This window comes from Homo sapiens, chromosome 3 (assembly GCF_000001405.40).
Source record: "Homo sapiens chromosome 3, GRCh38.p14 Primary Assembly".
Classification (NCBI taxonomy): Eukaryota; Metazoa; Chordata; class Mammalia; order Primates; family Hominidae; genus Homo; species Homo sapiens.
The window spans coordinates 191,153,801-191,175,932 of record NC_000003.12 but is presented as its reverse complement, the minus strand read 5'-3'; the positions used below and the strand labels follow the sequence as shown (position 1 = coordinate 191,175,932).

The window sequence follows — 22,132 nt, the reverse complement described above, 5'->3', positions numbered from 1 at the left end:
TATCCATCCTTTCTGAGCAGCACTGTAGTGCTATCAAAACTTATTCAAGTTTTGCTTATATTTCTTACACATACCTAAATTCAAACATGAAATAACAAAAATATTAAGTATTAAATTATTGGAAGAAAAATTAATTTCATTATAGACATAAAACAAACAGAATGAAGTAAAGAAAGTACTCAGAACAATACCCATTGAAGTGTAAATATGTGTATAAATTACTTAATTGCTTAATTACAAATTAAAAAGGATAGATCCAGCTAGTTCTTCATTTATTAAAACTTTTCAAATGCTCTCAAAGATTCTGAGTTCATTAAATAACCAAACTCCCAAGAAAATGTTTCCATGAATTATTGTATTCATGCATCCTTTGACACACTATTAAATAATTATGGTTTATTGAACCTTGTCTCATTGAAAAAAACGTGTCTATTTATTTCTTTGGTTATGATTATCTGATCTAAACAACTTCATAAGCCTTCATTCCTGTGAACTGGAGAGTGATATTTGGGTTAAGGTGAAAGAAACTGAAACACGGAATGATACATTTACTTCCATATTACCAAAACATGAAGTCGAGTAACAATAACAGTAGTTACCAACATTTATTCAGTGCTTACTCAGAGCCAACACTCAGCTTTCACTGTTCATTCATTATCTTCTTTAACCCTCACAGTCATTCTATGAGCTGAGTATTACTATTAATTATAAGTTTAAAGCAAGGTAACTGTGGCATAAAGTGCTTGAGTGATTTAATAGAGGTTACCCAGCTGGAAAGTGGCCGAGATGGGCTTAAGCTTGATGTCTTAAAAGCCCACATTTCTGACCATTTCTAACCATTTCTAATTAGATATCACATGCCTTCTCAATAGAATTAATTTCTATTCATCCTTTTTTAATTAGAAGAACTTACCTAGAACTTCACACCTATGTTTTTCTTTCATTCTTTATTTTTTTCCAGAAACCATCTGCTGGAATGAAAAAATATTTGGAAAAATTCAGAGAAAATACACAGAAGAGAATATGCTGGCACATACATGTGTAAAAATCTCTCTTTGGGAGCAAGGCTGGCCAGATTAAGGAGGAAGAGTAAAGCTATAGAATCTGGCCCAGTATCTATTGCTTTAATACAAAGAATTCAAAATCCCAGGGAGATAGCTCTTTACAGAATTGGGGATTTAAAGTGCAGGAGTTATTGACTTATTGGACTATCCTGAAACAGCTGTCTGTTGGAAATGCTTTTCTATATCAAATGTCTTAAAATTAAAGCTTCATCCATTTCTAAAAGCAAGCCAAAATTGATTTCTTTAATTCAGTACTTTTATATGACTTAAAATATTGATTCTGGGTATAAAATATAAAATTATATGCTTACGTTAATGAACATTAAAAGTAGTTTTAAATATGAAAAGCCATACAATTCTTTTGTTAGCACCTTGATTAGGTCACTTTCAAAAATTATCTTACACTTTCTCAAAAGCATTATCTTCTCTTCTATATGAGAGAGAAAATGTTAGTTTATCAAATGTTTCTCTTCAGATAGGTTTGTATCTACTACAAGAAGAGATTTGCTTCTGTTCTGAAGACAGAATAGGTAGATTTAAACTAATATGTGGAAACTGAAATTCAAAAATGTGTGGCTTCATTTCTGGCATATATTGTTTGTATTTTCTGGCAGAAAGGGACGAGTGCTCTTTCTCTCTTTCTCTCTTTCTGTTTTGCTCAGGGTCTGTCAGGTGTCCGTGACCTACATAATCCACACATGGCTTGGGTTTCGCTTCTAGAGGCATCCTTATGCCACTTCAGGAAATTCCAGATCACTTTCTTTTTGTTCACTACACTGTTTTACTCTTAATTTTTCTGCTTTCTTAAATCACTAGTTTGTTGCTGACTCCCACTGGCACTTTACTACTTGGTTTGACTTTTTATATATATAATTGCCATTGGATTTAAATTTTTGGTGCATGAATTCTGGCATTTGTTCTCTGTTATCAAGTTATCGAGATAAAAGGTTCCTACTCTGAGCTCAATTTCAGCCCTATGAAATATGTCCTAAATGGCATTGCCTCTCATGCACACTCCACCTTACAAAGAAAGAGAAATTATTATTTTCCTTTACCAAGATGGAGTAGGATGAGTGGAGGATGCAGGGAATGGTGGTTGGAGAGAGAAGTATCTATGGAATCCATGTGAAAACTTAATGTATTCATTAAATATTAAATTAGAATCCTGAAATTTAGTTAAATATTAAATTAGAATTATGGAATTTCACTTAATTTCATAACTAATTTATTTTCAAAGACACTATTTTCATTTCTTATGTTTTATGGTGAAAAGGGAATGCTTATCCACTGCTGGTGGGAATGCTATTAGTTTAGCCATTGTGGAAAACAGTTTGGCAATTTCTCAAAGAACTTGAAACAGAACTATACTCAACCAGTAATCCCATTATTTGGTGTATATCCAAAGGACCATACATCGTTCTACCATAAAGACACATACATGTGTATGTTAATCACAGTACCATTCACAAGAAGCAAGACATAGAATCAATCTAGATGTCCATCAATGGTAGGCTGAATAAAGAAAATGTGGTACATATACACCATGGACTACTATGTAGCCATAAAAAGAATGAGATCATGTCCTTTGCAGAGACATGGATGGAGCTGGAGGCCATTATTCTAAGCAAACTAACACAAGAACAAAAAACCAACCACACATGTTCTTACTTATAAGTGGGAGCTAAACATTGAGTACACATGGACATAAAGAAGGGAACAACAAATGCCAGAGCCTCCAGGGTGGAAGGTAGGAGGAGGGTGAGGATTGAAAAACTACCTATAGGTTACTATGCTTATTACCTGGGTGATGAAATAATCTGTACACCAACCTCCCGTGAAAAGCAATTTACCTTTGTAATAAACCTACACTTGTACCTCTACACCTAAAATAAAAGTTAAAAAAAAGAAAAAAGAAATTAAAAAAGAAAAAGGAAACTAATTATAGTTAATTTATATTCCAAATTTGGCTGAATTTCAGGAGGAAATGCAAAACACCATCTAAATCTTTCTCTTTATAGTTTTGGTGCTGCCTGGGGATATACTTTTAAAATTAATTATGAAATAACATATCTCACTGCTAAAATTCTGATGATTAAAATGTTTTGATCATATAATGACAGCACTTAAAGTTTGTCTAGAATTTAGATCCCATTTTTGGGACACATGTCTTTTGGATACCCATTAGCTAGAATATAGTATCTCAATATTTTTCAAATAGACTCGATCCTTAAGGTGTTATTTTTAAAGTACATGACAACATTATGTTTAATGCTCCCTATTCCCCCTCTGTCAACTATTACTCATTTTCCAAAGATCACATAAATGTTACTGCTTCTGTGAGTCTTTTCCCAATCATTCCCATTGGAATTAGTTATTTCCTATTCTGTCATCCCATATTACAAGTATTTTTGTTTCATTCCATTTATTAATTTTACATTCCACTGTATTTCTGATTCATCTATTATTCCATACTTCACAGCAATAGCAGCATCAAACCATCTTTACTTTCGTTTCCGCAGTGTAGCTCCATACCTGACTTGTATTAAGGTAATGGTAAGTTTTCCCTCCATTGAACAAATGATTTGTTTTAGCTTCACCAGGATTACACGGCCTGTTTTGAGGTTCCATCTCATGGGTCCTTTTTAGTTATTTGCTAAAATTAGCTTTGTAATTATTTTGTTAAATATACAAGCTCCTATAAAAGTTGATTGCTGGCTTATTCCTTTAACAACCTTAGTATTAAGCTTGATTAAAATCCAAACAACGGGGCCGGGCACGGGGGTGGCTCACGCCTGTAATCCCAGCACTTTGGGAGGCCGAGGTGGGCGAATCACGAGGTCAGGAGATCGAGACCATCCTGGCTAACACGGTGAAACCCCGTCTCTACTAAAAATACAAAAGAATTAGCCGGGCGTAGTGGCGGGCACCTGTAGTCCCAGCTACTCGGGAGGCTGAGGCAGGAGAGTGACGCGAACCCGGGAGTCGGAGCTTGCAGTGAGCCGAGAACGGGCCACTGCACTCCAGCCTGGGCGACAGAGCGAGACTCCGTCAAAAAAAAAAAAAAAAAAAAAAAAAATTTTCAAATAACAGAATGGTCCTATCTCCCTATTGCATTCCACTTGTTCACTTACCATATTTCAACTAATTGGCCAGATTACTGTACTAGTCATGTTTTCCCTAATCCTCTGCCCCAATACACACACACGACCATGACTTTGGGTAAATTTTCTGTACAAGGTAGATACCATTATATATTCTGTAAGGCTACAGGGATGATTAATATTAATATTGTATGGAACGCAAAAGTAAATGCATAAGGTGGTGACTATCATCACAGTTCCACATCCGGTTGAACTCTATAGATAGCTATGTTTTTAGGTGGTTATTATCATTATCATACTTTTGTATTTGAGGGCTTCAGACAAAGTGAAGTGACTGGGTTCGAATCACATCTCCAATAAAGTATAGAGATTGTATTGAAGTTTGAATAAATTATTCTCTTATTCTCAGATAATTTGCGCATTGGAAAATATCAGACACAAGAATACAAAGAGAAACAAATGTTTAGTTTCTCCAGATTTGAAAGTTAAAATAGGACTGGGTTGTGATGTCAATGAAGATACTCTGGTAGATGTTCTGGCAGCTGAGGCAGTTCTGAGGAGTTTTCAAAATACAACAGGGAACAACTCTTCCACCTTATATGCTATGAATATCTTCTGTCTCATCCAGGAGATGAGCAATGCAGGCTGATACACATCTTTGAACAAAACTACTGTAATTAAAAATGTGAAAGTTTTTTTTTTTAAATAGCGAATAGTTCTCTATGTCTGATGCATAATAAAATGCATATATGGTCCTGGAGTGAGGGATTATAGGCGGTAAGATGTAGAAGGCAGGTTGGCTCATTTAACAAATCACTATTTTTCTCAGCTATGTTCCAGAATTGTGCTAAACATTAGAGCCCTAAAAAGAGCAAGACATGTTACTCTTGCTCCCAAGAAATGCATTCGGAGACAAGAGGAAGAAAAATAAGCATGTTATAGCAAGCACAAAGGCTGCTGTCAATTTCGTGAGCACATGAAGAAAGCAGTCTAACTGCCTCTATCTGGGAGAGTGGAGAAAGGTTTCATAAAGAAGGAGTATTTCAGTTAAGACTCGAAGAGTGTGTAAAAATATTAAGGGATGAGTAAACACTATGTGCAAAGGTATTCCTGGATAAAATTGCATGTTCTAGAAGTAAGTGTTATATTTAAGCAGAATATGAAATAATTGGGGACATAATCTTTCAATCTTGAAATTAGAAAAATTTAAAAAATACTATCTCAAAAAGTAACAAGATGTAGTATATTTAAGATTAAAATAATGCAGTTCCCCTATCATGTTCAGATTTCACTCACACTCACTTCACGCCTATTATTAGAACATTTTATAATAGACACAGGCTTTTACACCAACACATTAACCAAATAGAGTTAATAATCACAGCTTGCTTATTCTCTTTGAGCTATTAAATATACCCCATTCTGAAGTACAGAGATTAGAGAAGTGAGCTATATATAGTCCAAAAGACTGAAACCTCAGTAACTAGAACAGACATTTGCTTATTGGCATAAGTACACTGAAGGATGTCCTCTCCGCACATTACTAACATGTCAGGATTTTTAACAGATATTATTAAGACACCACAGTAATGCAGAGATGTATGTAAGCTGAGAGTATAATCACTATGAGGACTGAAGGCTGATGATTTAACTGTGTTGAAATTACTCTGGTGTCCCTCTAATTTGTCACATGACTTAATGTTTAGCTTCGTTATATGGTTTTAAAATCTAAGTCCTTGATGATTTCTTTTTCCTTTTCTTTTCACAAAGTAGATGATGATTTGTAAACTGACTCTTCATGTTCCCAAACCACTGAGCATTTTAAAAATTAGTTTCCATGAAATAGAAGTGGTTTCAAAGGAAGTCTTGGCTCAAGCAGCTTCTGTTTGGGGACTTTGACTGCCAGGATATCCATTCAAAGAAAGATGGTGATTTCTAAATTATTCTATTTTTACTTTGATATCCTCCCTGTAACTCTACAATTTTCTCCATGCTGCTTCCCAGGATCTTCCTCCTGTTTGTCCTCAAGATATGTTACCATTAGCAACTGCTATTACTGGCCCTGTGTGTTCCATCAGCTACCAAATGTTAGTGTAGAAGTGGAAAACCTTGCAAATATAATAGTTTAAGGAAATATTTCCACACATATTACAGGGGGTGATCTTTAGGGTTCTTTTTTTACATTTTAATACATGAAAGGCAGATTAGAATCAAGTAAATTATCTTGGTTATTTTGAAGAAACTAGAGCACAATGATTAGCCTTAATAATATGAACACAACATTAGATTTTCCTTTACATCTTTTGACTTGTTACTCCACGTCATTTTTATGCAAATTTGAAAAACAAACGGTAACTAAATGCTTATTTGTACTAGACACTGTGTTAAGGGCTTAGAAAGTGATTAGAAAACTCAGAATGAAAATTCTACTCTTCAGAAATCTACCAGTTAGAGAAAGAGACACATAAATCATGATTTTTGTAAGGCGACTGGAAGAATTCACATGATGCAATGTTAAATTTCCATTTTTTTTTCTGGTGGAAACACAAACTTGATTTTTATATATTAGGGGCTCACAGATTTTGGCATTAATTCTCCCTAGAGGATTTAGATGTTTGGACATGCCTAGAGGCTCCACATTGGAGAATTACCTGGACTTTCTGTGTATGAGACACCAAAGAGCTTTATGGGAAATAATTCCAAGTAGTAGAGTAGGTTGACATGTATAAATAAGAAGTCCATATCTCACTGGAAGAGAGAACTTTTATTTGGCCCTCCTTTTGCAGACATGTACTTAGGTCCTAAGGAGAGAAAAAAAAGAAGAAAGAAAGATCTGAGTCTTAAATCTCTGTTAAAGACATGTGGCGCACAGTGTATATGCAATTCATGATTGTGGTAAACACAGTAGCCCAAGTGGACAACAACGTCCAGCAAATGGGCCAAGATAAAAGAAGAGAAATACGTCACGCTTTAGCACTTATGGACAACTCTGTCAACACATGGGCATCATGTCATCTTCTTCATGGGCACAAGCAATTTTGGCCTGGGCACTGGGAGCAGTGGCTGTTTTGGCATTCCGTGGTGATTTTGGCATTCTCAGAAGTAATCTTTTTTCCATTCGTCTGGATCAATAGAGGATAAAAATGTCAGATAATATGTGATCACTGAGAAAAATTATATTATTGTGAGCACATGCGTGACACCCTTTGCAAATGCTAAACACTAGGTTGGTAGAGTTTGAAGAGGCCTGGAAATATTCGCAACCCTGTAAAAAAGCAGAACAGAGAGCATTATTTGATAATGCTATCATAACACCATCTGTCCCTTTCAGGGGATTAATTTGTTCTTTCAGATGATTTTTTTCTAGAGAAAAATAAACTATAATTAAAATTTTTTTATTCTAAACAACATACATCTCCCTCTTCTATATTTCTAAACACTATCTTATTTTCAACTTAGATTAGGAAAAAGCAGATAGCCTGCTCCTCAAAAATTTAGCCTTCTGCCAGAAAAATGCCTTCCCTGAATCTAGTCTAAACTTATGACCTAAATGTTAATTGAGTCCATTAAAAAAAGTTATAGAAGACATTCATGTATGCTGTATTAACTTGTTGTTCCACAAATATGCCAGATACCAATCGATCGTTGCTCACATTCATATCCACCCATCTTTGCCCCACTTAATGGTACTGAAGTTGAATATTGTGGTTCTTGACAGCTAGTGGAATTAAGTCTTCATCAATAAAGAGTGCAAGAGTGAAGCTGCAAGGTGATGGAGGAAGGAAGGCTCTTTCCTCCTGGTTTATCATCCATTATTATTATTCAGCAAGGGAACATCACTTTTATCCTCAGACCATATTTCCCTAGAAGAAACCACTTCCAAGCAGCTCAGTCAGTGATTAAACACATCAGCTCAGGCCTATCCCCTCTTTGCATTGGCAGTCCGTTTCCACAGACCAGTTCTAGGCTGAACTCTCTGTCAGGTTTCTTTGCCATGGGCAGACTTGTGTGTTCATGTGGGAGCCGTGCCATGATACTGAGGTCTGAATTTCAGCATTGGGGCCAGAGCCCTTCTTCTAATCCTTTGTTCTTTTATTGTGTGTGCTCCTCAGGCTAGAGGTGGTAACTACTTTTTTTTGCAGCTATCACTTCTGCACCTCACAAGAATTCTCATTTACTTCTAGTACTTAACCATTCTTTATGTTAAATTTTTTTGTTCAAATGTCTGTTGTGATTTTAATTTTCTGATTGGACTCTGATGGATATATCCCTCTTTATTTTATGGTATTCAAAATAATATATAAATATCCAAATGACAAATTTAGCATCATGAATAAAAAATAATTTATTTTTACCTTGATCATAAAATTCACCGTTTTATTTTTTATTTTGGTGTCTAGGAAATTCTGAGTACACAATAAACATTATTGAAAAATATTGGAATCCTTATATAGGCTCGCTCAACTTTTCGTATAAAGAGCCAGAGAGTAATTGGTTAGGTTTTGTGGGACATGCAGTCTCTGTTGCAAGTACACAACTCTGTTAAAGCAGCCACAGACGAATGAACAGGAGTGGCTAGGCCCCAGTCAAACTTCATTTACAAAAATGGAAATCTGGCTAGATTTGGCCTTAAGGCTGTAGTTTGCCGATCTCTGCTTTAGATAATCTCAGTACACGTATTCACAATAAAATTATCATATTTTAAATATAATTTTAAAATACATTGTTCTTTTTATAAAGCTACGAAATTATACAAAAAATGCATAGAATCTAATGGACCTTCAGGTTAATCTAAAATAATGTTTTTATTTAGGGAATGTACAGAGCTTGGTAGGTAGAGTCTTAGTTTTGGAATCACACTTTATTTAAATACTGACTCTCATTTCCTCTCTGTGTTCCTATGAGTAGTTTAATTTATTTAATTTTATTTTCTTTTCATGCAAAATGAAGATATTATCAGGTTGGTACAAAAGTAATTGAAGTTTTTGCCATTTAAAAGTAATGGTTTTGCCATTTAAAACTAATGGCAAAAACTGCAATTACTTTTGCACCAACTTATTTTGCCTTAATAGCCTATGACTATGGTTAGTATCCATAAAAATTTAGTGAATGCCTGGTTTATGGAGTATATTATTTTAGAGAGTAGAAACAACAAAAACTAAGAGTTAGGTATGAATCTTGCTTTTAAGGAAAAAAATGCTGATTTGGGGAAATAGAACAGTTACATATGAATAGTTGACATAAGGAACAACTCAGTTATGTAGGTGTGTTATCGAGCTTACTATTTTAACACTAGTTCAGTTCAGTATTATATCCTTGAAATTTTTGTTCAATGTTAATTTAGAGGCGATTCTGAATGCTCTGTAGAGGAGGCATCCGAGCCAAAGAAGGACAGCTGGTGCTATATCCAGTCTAACTACCCAAAATAGACTATTTTAAAAAAGAAGAGAATGAAATACCTTTATTTGTGAAGGTCAAGTGTGGTCTATTATCAGTCGTCAGAGGGACTTGATAGTACATTGCATTCAACTACAGAAATAAAGTTAAAATTTTTCATACTTCAATATCTGACTAGATACAAGTTGAGTATCCCTTTTCTGAAATGTTTGCAGCCAGAAGTGTTTCAGATTATTTTTTGGATTTTGGAATATCTGTATATCTTGGGGATGGGATCCAAATCTAAACAAAATTCATGTATGTTTTATGTATACCTCACACACATAGCCTGAAGCTAATTTTTTTCCCTTGGAGACACTGAATAAACTGTGTGTTGTGCATTTGCATTTTGGCTGTGACGGGTCACATGAGGCCAAGGCCAAGTATGGAGTTTCTCACTGTAGCTTCATCTTGGTGCTCAAAAAGTGTAGAATTTGGGAGTATTTAGAATTTTGGATTTTTTGGATTAGAGATTCTCAATCTGTATATATTTTTCATACTCTAATTTCTGACCACACACACACACACACACACACACACACACACACACAGATGAGCCTTGACTTGCAATAGTTCAACTTAATGATTTTTCAACTTTACAATGGTGCAAAAGCAATACATGTTCAGTGAAACCATACTTTGAATATCCATGCAACCATTCTATTTTTCACTTTCAGTATAGTATTCAATAAAGTACATGAGGTAGTGAACATTTTATTATAAAATAGGCTTTGTGTTAGATGATTTTGCCCAACTGTAGGCTAATGTAAGAGCACACTAAAGGTAGGTTAGTTCAAGACATGATTATTGGTAGTTTAAGTGTATTAAGTCCATTTTTGACTTAGAATATTTTCAACTCATCACTTTACTGGGATGTCACTTCATCATGTGTTGAGGATCAACTATACACACAATGTATACATATACATATGTATATGTATGTGTATATATATAATTATACATTCCCACATATAATTCTAATTTATAGCCCACATATGGAAAAGAACATAAAGAAAACATATTTGCAGAGGTCGACGATCACAAAGAACACCTATGTAATCATCACTCAGTTCCAGAAACGGAATGCTGCCAACATCTATTTCATGTCCCCTCACTATCCCTTCCCTTTCAACAAACATAACAATAATATTAATCTGTAATATTACTCTTTACTTTTACCTTCATTACTCTTTATTTTTTAAAATTTCTTAAACATGGAAACATACAGTATGTATTTGACTGAGTTCTTTTGATTAGCATTAGGTGAGTGATATTCTAATATGTTGGTATGTTTAGCTGTGATTTATTTTCATTACCATGTAGTATTCCATTGTATAAATATTCACTCTTCTGTTGATGAACAGTTGGGATTTTCCCAGTTCTTGGCCATTGTGAATATTGCTGTTACGAACAATTTTGCATATCTTTTGGTGCATATATGTATATACGTTTTTTGATACATACTGAGTGGAATTGCTTTGTTGTAAGGTATTTATGTCTTCAACTTTAGTAGAACGTGCCAAGACATGTACACTAAATTATTTTGGCTAGTCATTGTCTATGAATATTCCATGTGTTTATTGAAAGAATGTGTATTGTGCAGGTGTAGGGCACAGCGTTCCACATATTTCAATTAGGTCAAGTTTATTAGTCATAGTTCAAATTTTCCCCATCCTTACTGATTTTTTTCCGCTTATTCTATTAGTACATGATTAAGCTGTATTGAGATATCCCTCTATATGGATTTACCTATTTTTTCTCATACATTTTGAGACAATGGCATTAGGTATATACAAATGTGTCTTTTATATCTTTATACTATACAAGCCTAATGGATTAATGTTTTACCATTTGATGTGTCTGTCTTTATTTCTGATAATAGTGTTTTATATTAAAGTTTACTTCAATACTGGTAGACTTAAAAACTTTTTTCAGTTATTGTTCATATTCTACCACTTTTTCCAGTCTTTAACCTCAACTTCATTGTATTCTTATAGTTTAGACATTTTGGTAAGTCATGTATCACTTTTAAAATTCAGTTATATATTTCCTTTAATCAGTCTAGTTGTAGGTAATATGATTATTGATATATTTGTATTTAAATGTATTATGTTTCTATTTTGATTTCTATTTATCCATCCTCTCTCTTTTCTTATTCCTCATATTCATAATCTTTTGTGTAGATTTATGTTTATTTGGTTCTATTTTCTCACCTCATAAGTAAAAGTTATTTTTTTATTATTCTCTTTGTATTACTTTGGGAATACAATATTATTGACTAATGCAATATTAATTGGTGTTTTTACATTATGCTTAAAAAATACAAGGAATTTATAACACTTTAAATCTTTTTACCCCTACATTTCTAGCTATTGTTTTTATTGTTGTAATATATTTTAATTCTTTTTACATATATTATATATGACTATGTATTATATATTATATATTATTCCTAAGACAGTGTAATTATTTTGCATAGTCAATGTTTATTTATATTCACCCTGATATTGATTGCTTTTATTGCTCTTCATTTCTCATACATCTCTGATCTTTCATCTGAGATTCTTTTCCTTCTTGAAAAATACTCCTTGTAATTCATTTTGTCTGTTGGGAAAAATTCTCAATTTTTATTAATACGAAGATAAATTTATTTCACATACATTACTTGAGATCCTTATTTTATTATTTTTCTTAGTATGGAATTCTTGATTCATATTTATTTTATTTCAGTATTATAAAGATAACACTTAAAAATGTATTATTTCTTTTGAGCATTTAGCTTTGTGTCAAATCGTTGCCCTTTCAATTTTTTTGTGTGTTTTTAGCTTCCTTTACATACTGTTATTGTCTGGTATTTACAGGATTATTAGTAAGATATGAATATAAAACAGTTTGCTGTTTATCTCAAAGTATTTCTTGAATGCTTTTGTCTTTCATCATTGGATAATTTTCATCCTTTATCTCTTTACATATTGGTGCTGCTTCTTTTTCTCTTTTTTCTTTTTCTGAGATTCCAATTGTACCTATGTAAGACTGTCTCACTATATCTTATGTTTTACTCAATTATTTTGCCTTTTCCATTCTTTTTCCTCCATGACTAATTAGTATGTTTCCTCTGACTCATCTTCAACATCATTGATTGTTTCTTCAGCTATGTCTAAACCTACAGACATATGTCTAAACTTAGAGACATAAACTTACATTAAATCTTATCATTAAATTATCAATTTCAGTTTTTATATCTTTCAGTTACAGACTTTTTTCTCTGTTATACAGAGGAGATCTGGCAACTCTAATACTTACAGCTCCTGTCAGTAAGCTTCTATTTTATTTTGTTTCTGCTACATTTCCTTCATGTAGTCTTGTCTTTATGTGTTCCTGGCTGTTTTGGCTTATGTTTATTTAAAACATTTTTAGATCATTTGAAGATTATTTGAAGTTGATCTGTAGTCCCTGAAAGTACCAGTCTATATTCATCCAGTTCACACTTTCTCCTGGGATATATTGTTTCCAAATTTGAACCAAAAATATGCAGAGGCTTACCAGCAACCTGACATGTTAGCAGATCCTCAATTCTAATTTTTATCCATTCAGCCTTATAAGATTGTCATAAGTGTGACTCAGATTATCTTTCTCTTAGGAGCTTTTGGCAGATAGCCCCATAGGCAGTGTTTCAAATGTTGGGATCACTGTCCACAGCCTCATTTTCCTTTTTCTTACATCAAACAGGCATTTTTTCATTATTTTGTTAGCTTGCCAAAAACTCTCCAATAGATCTGTCTGCCTGTCTGTCTATCTATCTATCTATCTATCTATCTATCTATCTATCTATCATCTATCTGTCTATCTACATGTCTACCTCTCTACCTATTCTAGCTTCTCTAGTTATTTTTAGTAGAAAGCTTTATCTAAATTAACTAATACGCCTTAATGAGAAATGGGCTATTAATTAGCAAGATGCTGTTCTTTCTCATACTACTTTGAGCAGTCAATGTACAGGATGTTGTATCATGCTATAGTACAGTTTAGCTGAAAAATTACTTTTAAAAAGCATGATGTGGCTGGGTGCGGTGGCTCATGCTTGTAATCCCAGCACTTTGAGAGGCCAAGATGGGCAGATCAGTTGAGGTCAGGAGTTCGAGACCAGCCTGGCCAACAGGGTGAAACCCCATCTCTCCTAAAAATACAAAAATTAGCCGAGTGTGGTGATGCATGCCTGTAATCCCAGCTACTCAGGAGGCTGAGGCAGGAGAATTGCTTGAACCTGGGAGGCAGAGGTTGAGGTGAGCCGCGACCACACCACTGCACTACAACCTGGCTGACAGAGTGAGACTCTGCCTAAAAAAAAAAAAAAAAAATGATGCTTGCTTCATTTTTTATTTCTAAGAACAACCATCTAATTACAAGTATAGTTTACATTGTTAAATTGGAAATGAAATAAATTCAAATGAATTTTAGATTTTTTAAAAAGATAAATTATTAAACTTGATTTTTATTATTTATTAGTGTATGTTTCCCACTTAAAAGGATTCGTTTTAAGTACTTTGGATAATAAGGATCTCCTATAATTTGAAGTCAACAGTATATGTTAGCATAAAATTTACATATACAGTAAATATATGTATTTATTTACAGTAAATATAAACATATTTATATATACTTATTTGTTCAAATGTTACTTGTTTAAATTTTAATTTAAATATTTGACTAAAAAAGTCTAAATTAAAAATTCTTTGATTATTAAAATATTACTAAATTAATATTACTAGACTATCTTTCTAAGAACCACCTCAGGTAGTATTAGGTAGAGTAATGACTACTGAAAGATGCTGATACCATAATCTTATGAAACTTGTAAATATTTATTTTACATGTCAAAAAGTATTTTGCAAACTTGAGTAGGGGCACAGACTATAATAAGAGATTACCCTGGATTATCTGGGAGGGTCTAAATTAATTGTAAGCTGTTAAAAACAGAGAATTTTTCCCAGATGTGGCTAGTCAGAGAGATACAATGTAAGAATGAATTAACCTGGCGTTGCTGGCTTTGAGGGTAGAAGAAGAGCCTGTGAGCCAAAGACTGTATGAGGCCCATGGAAATTGGAAATGGAAAGAAAACATCCAAGAGCTTCGAGAAATAAATACAGCCATGCCAAATACCTTAATTTTAGCTCAGTGGGATTTATGTCTGACTCCTGACCTATCGAACTAAAGAATGATGAATTCGTATTGTTTTAAGCCATTAAGTTTCACAGGGCAGTAGTAGAAAACTGATACATTCTCAAAATGAGTTCACTGTTTCTACTTTCCTTCATAGCAGTATTTCTGCATATTATTCCAGTGTGATCTTTTAATTATGGTTATTGAAGAAGGTATAAGATTATGTCTTTACAATGTAAAAATACCATTCAGTCAACCTGGTACAGTAGATAATATATTGATATACAAACAGAAGTCTACCTGAGAACACACTGTTATAAGCAATTATTATAAATTGGCTTAATTTTCTTGCAGAAAAATGAAAAGCTTAAAAAATTATATTATCAAATTAGGATGGAAATATTATTGCATTACACTTATCAATGATTCAGAAATGTTGGCATATTCTCCTATATCAACTTAGGCAATTACTTTAGATAACACTCATACATTCAATCAACAAATTTATTAACATTTATTAACATGTGCCATATACTGGGCCATGTTGATTCTGTCTTTAAGAGGCTATTTAGCAAGCAATTTGTACAAATTAAAATAATAGTGGTAGAAAATTGTAAAACATTTTTATAACAGGAAAGTTCTTTTCTTTTTTAGGAAAGTTTGATGATAGAGGAAATAAACATAAAAGATAAGTGATGTATACAACCAACATTTAGAGGCTCACGGGAGGCAGTTATTGCCAGAGGATAGCTTGAGAGGAGGTAAGTGGTTTCAGGATGTTAAAGAAGAGGCATGCAGAGAAAAGATTTTTAGAGCCTTACTGGTCATAATAAGGAACTGATGTTTTATGGTAACAGCAATGGGAGTTTTAAGCAGAGAGAGATGGTTCAATAAGTGATTTATAAAGATTACACAGCTGGGCAGAAAATAAATTACAAGGGAAATATACTGGATACAATGACACCCTTTATAAAGTTGACATTATGGGGAAGATGTTAATGACTTGAACTAGGATAGTGGAAGTAGAGACACAAAGTAGTGGATTGACTTGAGGGCAATTTAAGAAATGAAATGATAGGATAAGGTGATTTATTGGTACAGTGGATGCCATATCAGTGAAATTCACACTTCAGGGAATGTTGCTGCTAAAAAGCCTCACCTTTAGCTGGAAAAATCTCTTTCCTGAGATTGCACACCTTCCTGGAGTGGCACATATTGAATGACAATTCATCATGAAGTTATAGCTGTCTTTTCAGGAATAAACGTGGGGTTAGCTGAGACTTCCATTGAGACTGCATCTCAACTCAACTTTTCCCTTTACCCAATACTGCATATTTTCCCCCTTCCACAGCTGTTGATCCCAAGGGTACTTCCTAGTAAACTTGTGTATACTAATTTGTGCTTCAGAGTTTGCTTCTTAGGGAACCCAATCTATGGCAATTGCAGATGTGGTGGGATGTGTAATGAATAGTGGTAATTCAATAAACTCCCAGATTTCTGCTTTGGAAACTGGATGATAGGTATGCCATTTGATGAAACAGAAAATCTCAGAGGAAAGGAATATTTAAAGAAGAAATAAAAAATTTTAGGTACCAATGTGACATCTAAGTGGAGCTCTTCAGGCATCTCTTAACTCTTCTGAGAATAAGAAGGTAGGTATGGGAGTAGAGAACTGAATGTTTGAAATCATGATTGTGTAAGTGGGAAAATAAATTGACTAGAATATAAAAACATATTATAAACCCCAAACTTTACCATGAAGAACCATTATCTGGCATGTTTTATGTGAATTTTATAAAAATAAAAGAGGTTATGAAAATATATCACGGCATTCTACCTCCTTTTAACCCGAGACCTAAAGTTCAATTCATTGATGAGAATCTCATCTATGTTATACTGTCTTAAGAGCAGTTGATAATAGTTCTACAGAGCTCAAATTTAACTAGTTAAGAGAGACTAAGAAAGCATTTTAATTTGCTTGACAGATTTGTAACAGAAAGAATGCACACCAAAATAATGTCTTCGGATGAAAAAAAAAGCATTATAGTACAGTGGAGTTTCATCCTGTCCTTTAAGGTCAAGAGCATATTTTGGCTTTTGTTTGATCCTCAATTCAAAACATCTGTCCTTATTAATGATGTGGTAAAAAGGGTCATGTAATATTTGGCACCAAAGGACTGGCTTCTCTAGAAGCCAAGAGAGAAGACACTCTTCAGCTATTTCTTTGGCTCTGCTTTGCAGAGAAATAAATTCATCTTTGCTACACTGAGAATTGCATGGTCAGAAAATTGTTGCAGAATAGAAAACTCAGTTATTCATGACTTATTTTGTATTGACCAGAAACTAGATTATAAACCCAATTTTCTAACTCAGGGAAAACAAAATAAGATCTGTGACTGAGAATCCTTTATCTGAGAGTGGAGAATGTCATTTTTCATTTTTATTTGAAAAGATATTTGATATAAAGAAGGCAGAGGCTATAATTATGGATCAAACAGAAGCTCAGAATCAACACATTGCATTTATTAATACAATACATCTTTATCTGAATACCATGGAAAAAATTGACATAAACCTTATCCTCCCAGTTATAAGAAGTAAAGTCTTTGTGCTGAAATCTGTTTGTCCTTCCAGAATCTCTACCCAGCTTTTTCTATCTGCACTTTGCTCAGGGAGGCTCACCTTGTAAGCTGAATCAATTGGCTCCTTTGTCTTCTAGCATTCAGTTGTTTAACCAATACAAGACACTTCCACGAGTTTGGTGAGTGTGAGGGGAGTGAAGTCAGAGTGTTATTCTCCTATTCAGTCTTTCACAAGGATTGTTAAATGCTGACTTTCTGGATGGAAGGTCACAATTTCTGTCAGGTAGACTTCTCTCTCTCTCTCTCTTTGGAAAACTATTTCTTCACTTCACTCTCAGTAGGCTCCGGATGGTAGCAGTGCTTCATTGTTAGTAGTCCTAGGGTAGTGAGCAGTTTGTTACAGTTTTCCTACACAGAAAACATAGTATTGCCAAAAGAAAGGCTTTATAAAACCCTCTTCTAATTTCCAGTTTGAGTGTGCCATTTTGTGTGTGTGTGTGTTTTTTTCTAAGCCTCTAAACTGAATTCCTCAGGCCAAGCAGGTAAAGCTTAATGCATTATTCTTAACCGTTCTTCAAACCTCCTCAAAATCATATTGTCATAAAAGGTAGAATCAATGAACTTTGAATGGTATTTAAAAAATCTTTCACTTTCCTTTACCTAGGCTTCTAAATACATATGAGGTGTCTTCAAAGTTCATTAAAAATGCATAGTATAAAAACACTATGCATGTATTTCATTTTTTTTTTTGGCAACAAAATAAACTTGTACTAACTTGTCTTAACATGTCTGAACAGGATCTCATTTGTGGCACTAAGGATAAGACACCAACTTAAAAAGAGCCCCTGTCAGACAGCAACACAAATTCTGCTAAAATTGAAGCAAGAACAAACATCAAAGGTTTGCATAAGTTTGAGTGGAGGAATGGTGAAATCATTAGTTCTTTACAAAAAGTTTATGGGGACAATGTCCCAAAGAAATCAGCAGTTAACAGACAGATAATTCATTTTAAGAAGGGATGAGATGATGTTGAAGATGAAGCTCACAGCAGCAGACCATCCACATCAATTTGCAAGAAAAAATTAATCTTCATGTCCTAATTGAAGAGGATTGATGATTAACAGCAAAAACAATAGCCAACACCATAGACATCTCAAGTGGTTCAGCTTACACAATTATCCCTGGCCTGATTCAGCTCCTTCTGACTTCTTTTTGTTTCCTAATCTTAAAAATCTTTTAAAAGAATCTTTAGAGGGCACCCATTTATAATTATGTAAATTATGTTAATAATGTAAAATAGACTGTATTGACATGGTGACCTTCCCAGGGCCCTCAGTTCTTTAGGGGTGAACTAAGTCACTGGGATGATCACTTACAAAAGTGTGTTGACTTAGATGGAGTTTATGTTGAGAAGTAAAGTTTAGTTTTTTTAATTTGTATCTATTAATTACATTTTCCATGATCTTTTTGTAAGTTCTCTCATATATTCATTATAAATTGAGCATTTTTAAATTTTGTAATGCCTACTGTATGCATGGAACTGGACACAAAGGTGAATCAAATATTAAACCAGCTCTTGGGAATAGGAAACAATAGTATGTCACAGACAGAAAATGTGAGCTGGAAAGTGTATTAAAAATATGAATGGTGGGCTTTGGAAATTCAGCACATTTTCTATATTTAGAACTAATAATTTTATATTTGACTTTGTTTTCAGGGCTTCTTTTGATCTCCTTTATAGATTGCATTTGCTTTCTTTAGCATGCTTTGGTTTTCATGTTTCTTTTTTTTGCAATTTAGATAGCTGTGTTCTGATTGCATTTATAAAACTATTTCCTAATTTATAAGCTTTGAAATTTATTATCTCTCCATTTGAAAGAATGAGGATGTGTACACATACGCCTTCCTACATTCTATGCTTGCTTTCATCATCTTAATTCTTAATGAGAGGTAGTTATTTATCATAAAGATATATCCCTTTATATCTTCTTCACTAACCATAATTATTTGAATGACAAAAGCAAAGTGGCAGAATAAAAATTTTCTACTGCAATCTCCAACAGAAGCATAAATTTTGACAACCACCTACAGATGAGAATACCTTTGTAAGAGTCCAGGAATCCAGCAGAAAAGTTCAGCACAGAGCTGGAACAAAAAATCCAGGAATAGACATATTGAAAAAGAGTAAGAAAAACAGTTTCACTTCATTTGCATTAACCCCTCCCTAAAACAGGACAATGTGATACAAATAAAAGACTTTTCAGCCCATGATTTCACCCATATGGGAAAGTGAGAGAATAGTGAAAAAGCACTTAGCTTCCACAGATAAGTGGAGCGCTGCCCAAAAGGCCCACTTTTTTCTCACCGTACGCAGAACACTGGGGTGACTGGCACAGTGGAGTGGTGAGGAGAGACTGGGTTCAGGGACGAGAGATAGGCAATTATAAAAATGAGGACTCAGAACCCAAAAATGGATTTTGGATTCTACTAACTACTTCAGACACCCAAACAGCCTTTTGGGATGAGCCACTTGGAATTCTTCACCTGTAGATGGACTCAAATGGCCCAAGAACACCCTAATGCTTCATGTGTCTTACCCATGCTACACTGTGGCAAGCTTCCTATGTAAGCTCCCCTAAAATGTTAGTGCAAGCCTCTGCAGATGGCTCATAGACATGGGAAGACACCTGGTTCAACTCTGCAGAATTGTGAGGAGGCACACAAACTTGGACATTTTAGGAGGCCACTCTAGGAAAAACAAATAGGTGGCTATCAGCACCCAGAATGACTTTTCAGGATCAAGAGAAGTCATATAATCATAAGAATTGCCCCCACCTCCAACTCCAAGAGGGAAGAAGAGTTGTGTAGGGAATACATTTATAGGAAAGGTCTTAGGGAACCCCAGAATTCCTAGTAGGGTTGACTGTGAAGGTGTTTTTCTCCCAAAGCCAGTAATTAAAAACTAGAGGATATGATTTCTTCAAATGCAAAAGTATCCCAATTCTACAAGGAACATGAAACATCAAGGAAACATGACACTACTAGACAAATGCAATAATTTTTCAGTAACTGAGCTTGAAGAAATGGAGATCTATGAAGTACCTGACAATTCAAAATAATTGCTTTAAGGAAGTTCAGTGAGCTACAAGAGAACACAGGTTCAATAACATCAGGAAAACAATACATGAACAAATGAGAAGTTTATCATTTAAAGAACCCAGAAATTTTGGACCTGAAGAACACAATGAATAGAATAAAAATGCAATAGAGATGATCAAGAGCAGATGTTACTAAGAAGAAGAAAGAATCTGGAGAAAAGAGACAGAATGGGAAAGAAATCTTATTTTTGAAAAATGGCTGAAAACTTTCCAAATAAGAGAAAAAATGTAGACATTCAAGCACATGAAGCTCAAAAGTTTCCACACAAGATCAATCCAAAGATGAGTTTACCAAGAAATATCATAAGAAAAGTGTCAAAAATCAAAGACAAAGAATATTTAAAACAGCAAGAGAAAAAAAGATTCATCACATACAAGGGAAACTTAATAAGACTATCTGAAGATTTCTCAGGAGGCACTTAACAGGCAAGGAGAGAGTGATGCTATATTCAAAGTGCTGAAAGAACAACCAACCAACCAAAAATATTTTATGCAGAAAATCTGTTTTTCAGAAATGAAGAAGATATAGTTTTCCAGACCAAAAAAAAAAAAAAAAAAAAAAAAGCTGAGAGAGTTTATCACCATTAGATCTGCCATGAAAAAAATGCTAAAAGGCATTCTTCATGCCAAAAAGAGGAATGTGTATCATTGCAACATATCAAAGTATAAAACTCATTGGTAAAAGTAAATACAAATATTTCCAAATTCAGAATACTCTAATACTGTAATGGTGGTGTGTAAATCACTTTTAACTCTGGTATAAAAGTTAAAATACAAAGTATTAAAAATAACAGTAACTACAATAGCTTGTTAATAGATACACAGTATAAAAAATGTAAATTGTGACATCAGAAACAAAATGTGGAGAGGGGTGTAAAAGTGTAGAATTTTGTATGCAATCAAAATTAAGTTGTTAACAGCTTCAAATACACTGTTATAGCTATAAGATGTTTTATGTTAGCCTCATGGTAAAATCTACTATAGATGAAAAATCTACAGTAGATACAGAACGCAAAAATCTATAGTAGATAAAAAAATCTATAGTAGATACAAAAAGGCAAAAATCTGTAGTAGATACAAAAAGATAAGCAGAAAGGAAACAAAGCATACCATTGGAGACAATCACTAAATAAAAAAAGGATGACAGCAAGAGAGGGAGAAAGAAACAAAGGAACTAAAAACAGCCAGAACAAAATTAACAAAATTGATTTTGTTAGTAGTAAGTTCTTGCCTATTTTTGATTACTTTAATTAAATTCTCTCAGAAAGTGACATGGAGTAACTGAACGAATAAAAGAAAACAAGGCCCAACTATATGTCGACTACAGGAAACTCACTTCAGCTTTAAGGACACACATAGGATGAAAGTGAAGTGAAGAAAAAAGAGATGCCATGTCAATGGAAATAGAAATAGAGAAGGGGTGGATATATTACACAAGACAAAATAAACTTTAAATAAAAAACTATAATAAGAGACAAAGAGGGTCATTACATAATAATAAAGTAGGCATTTCATCAAAAGAATGTGGAATTATAAATACATATATGAACTTAACATCAGAACAACCAACTATAAAAATCAAATACTAACATAACTGAAGGGAAAAATAAACAGCAATACAGTAATGTAGG

At 33.8% G+C, this 22,132-nt stretch overlaps 1 long non-coding RNA gene across 1 annotated transcript, besides 2 other annotated features; it reads right to left on the bottom strand.

The window, feature by feature from the left end:
* Nucleotides 1–6,910: 6,910 nt before the first annotated feature.
* LOC107986171 (uncharacterized) lies at nucleotides 6,911–19,780 on the bottom strand. Its single transcript, XR_001741070.2, has 3 exons — nucleotides 19,445–19,780; nucleotides 17,444–17,720; nucleotides 6,911–7,430 (listed from the first exon to the last, which is right to left on the bottom strand). It is a non-coding gene; the product is annotated as an uncharacterized LOC107986171 (long non-coding RNA).
* Nucleotides 16,892–18,091: an enhancer, noted in NCBI's record as "MED14-independent group 3 enhancer chr3:190875631-190876830 (GRCh37/hg19 assembly coordinates)". NCBI's record gives its function as "activates an origin of replication core promoter dependent on BRD2, BRD4, P300/CBP and CDK7 cofactors, and independent of MED14, by STARR-seq in HCT116 cells {active_cell/tissue: HCT116}" and the evidence as "EXISTENCE:reporter gene assay evidence [ECO:0000049][PMID:35650434]".
* Nucleotides 21,963–22,132: an enhancer, noted in NCBI's record as "experimental_66920 CRE fragment used in MPRA reporter constructs". NCBI's record gives its function as "activates a minimal promoter by MPRAs in K562 erythroleukemia cells, with activity observed for both the introgressed and non-introgressed 3:190871675 variant alleles {active_cell/tissue: K562}" and the evidence as "EXISTENCE:reporter gene assay evidence [ECO:0000049][PMID:34662402]".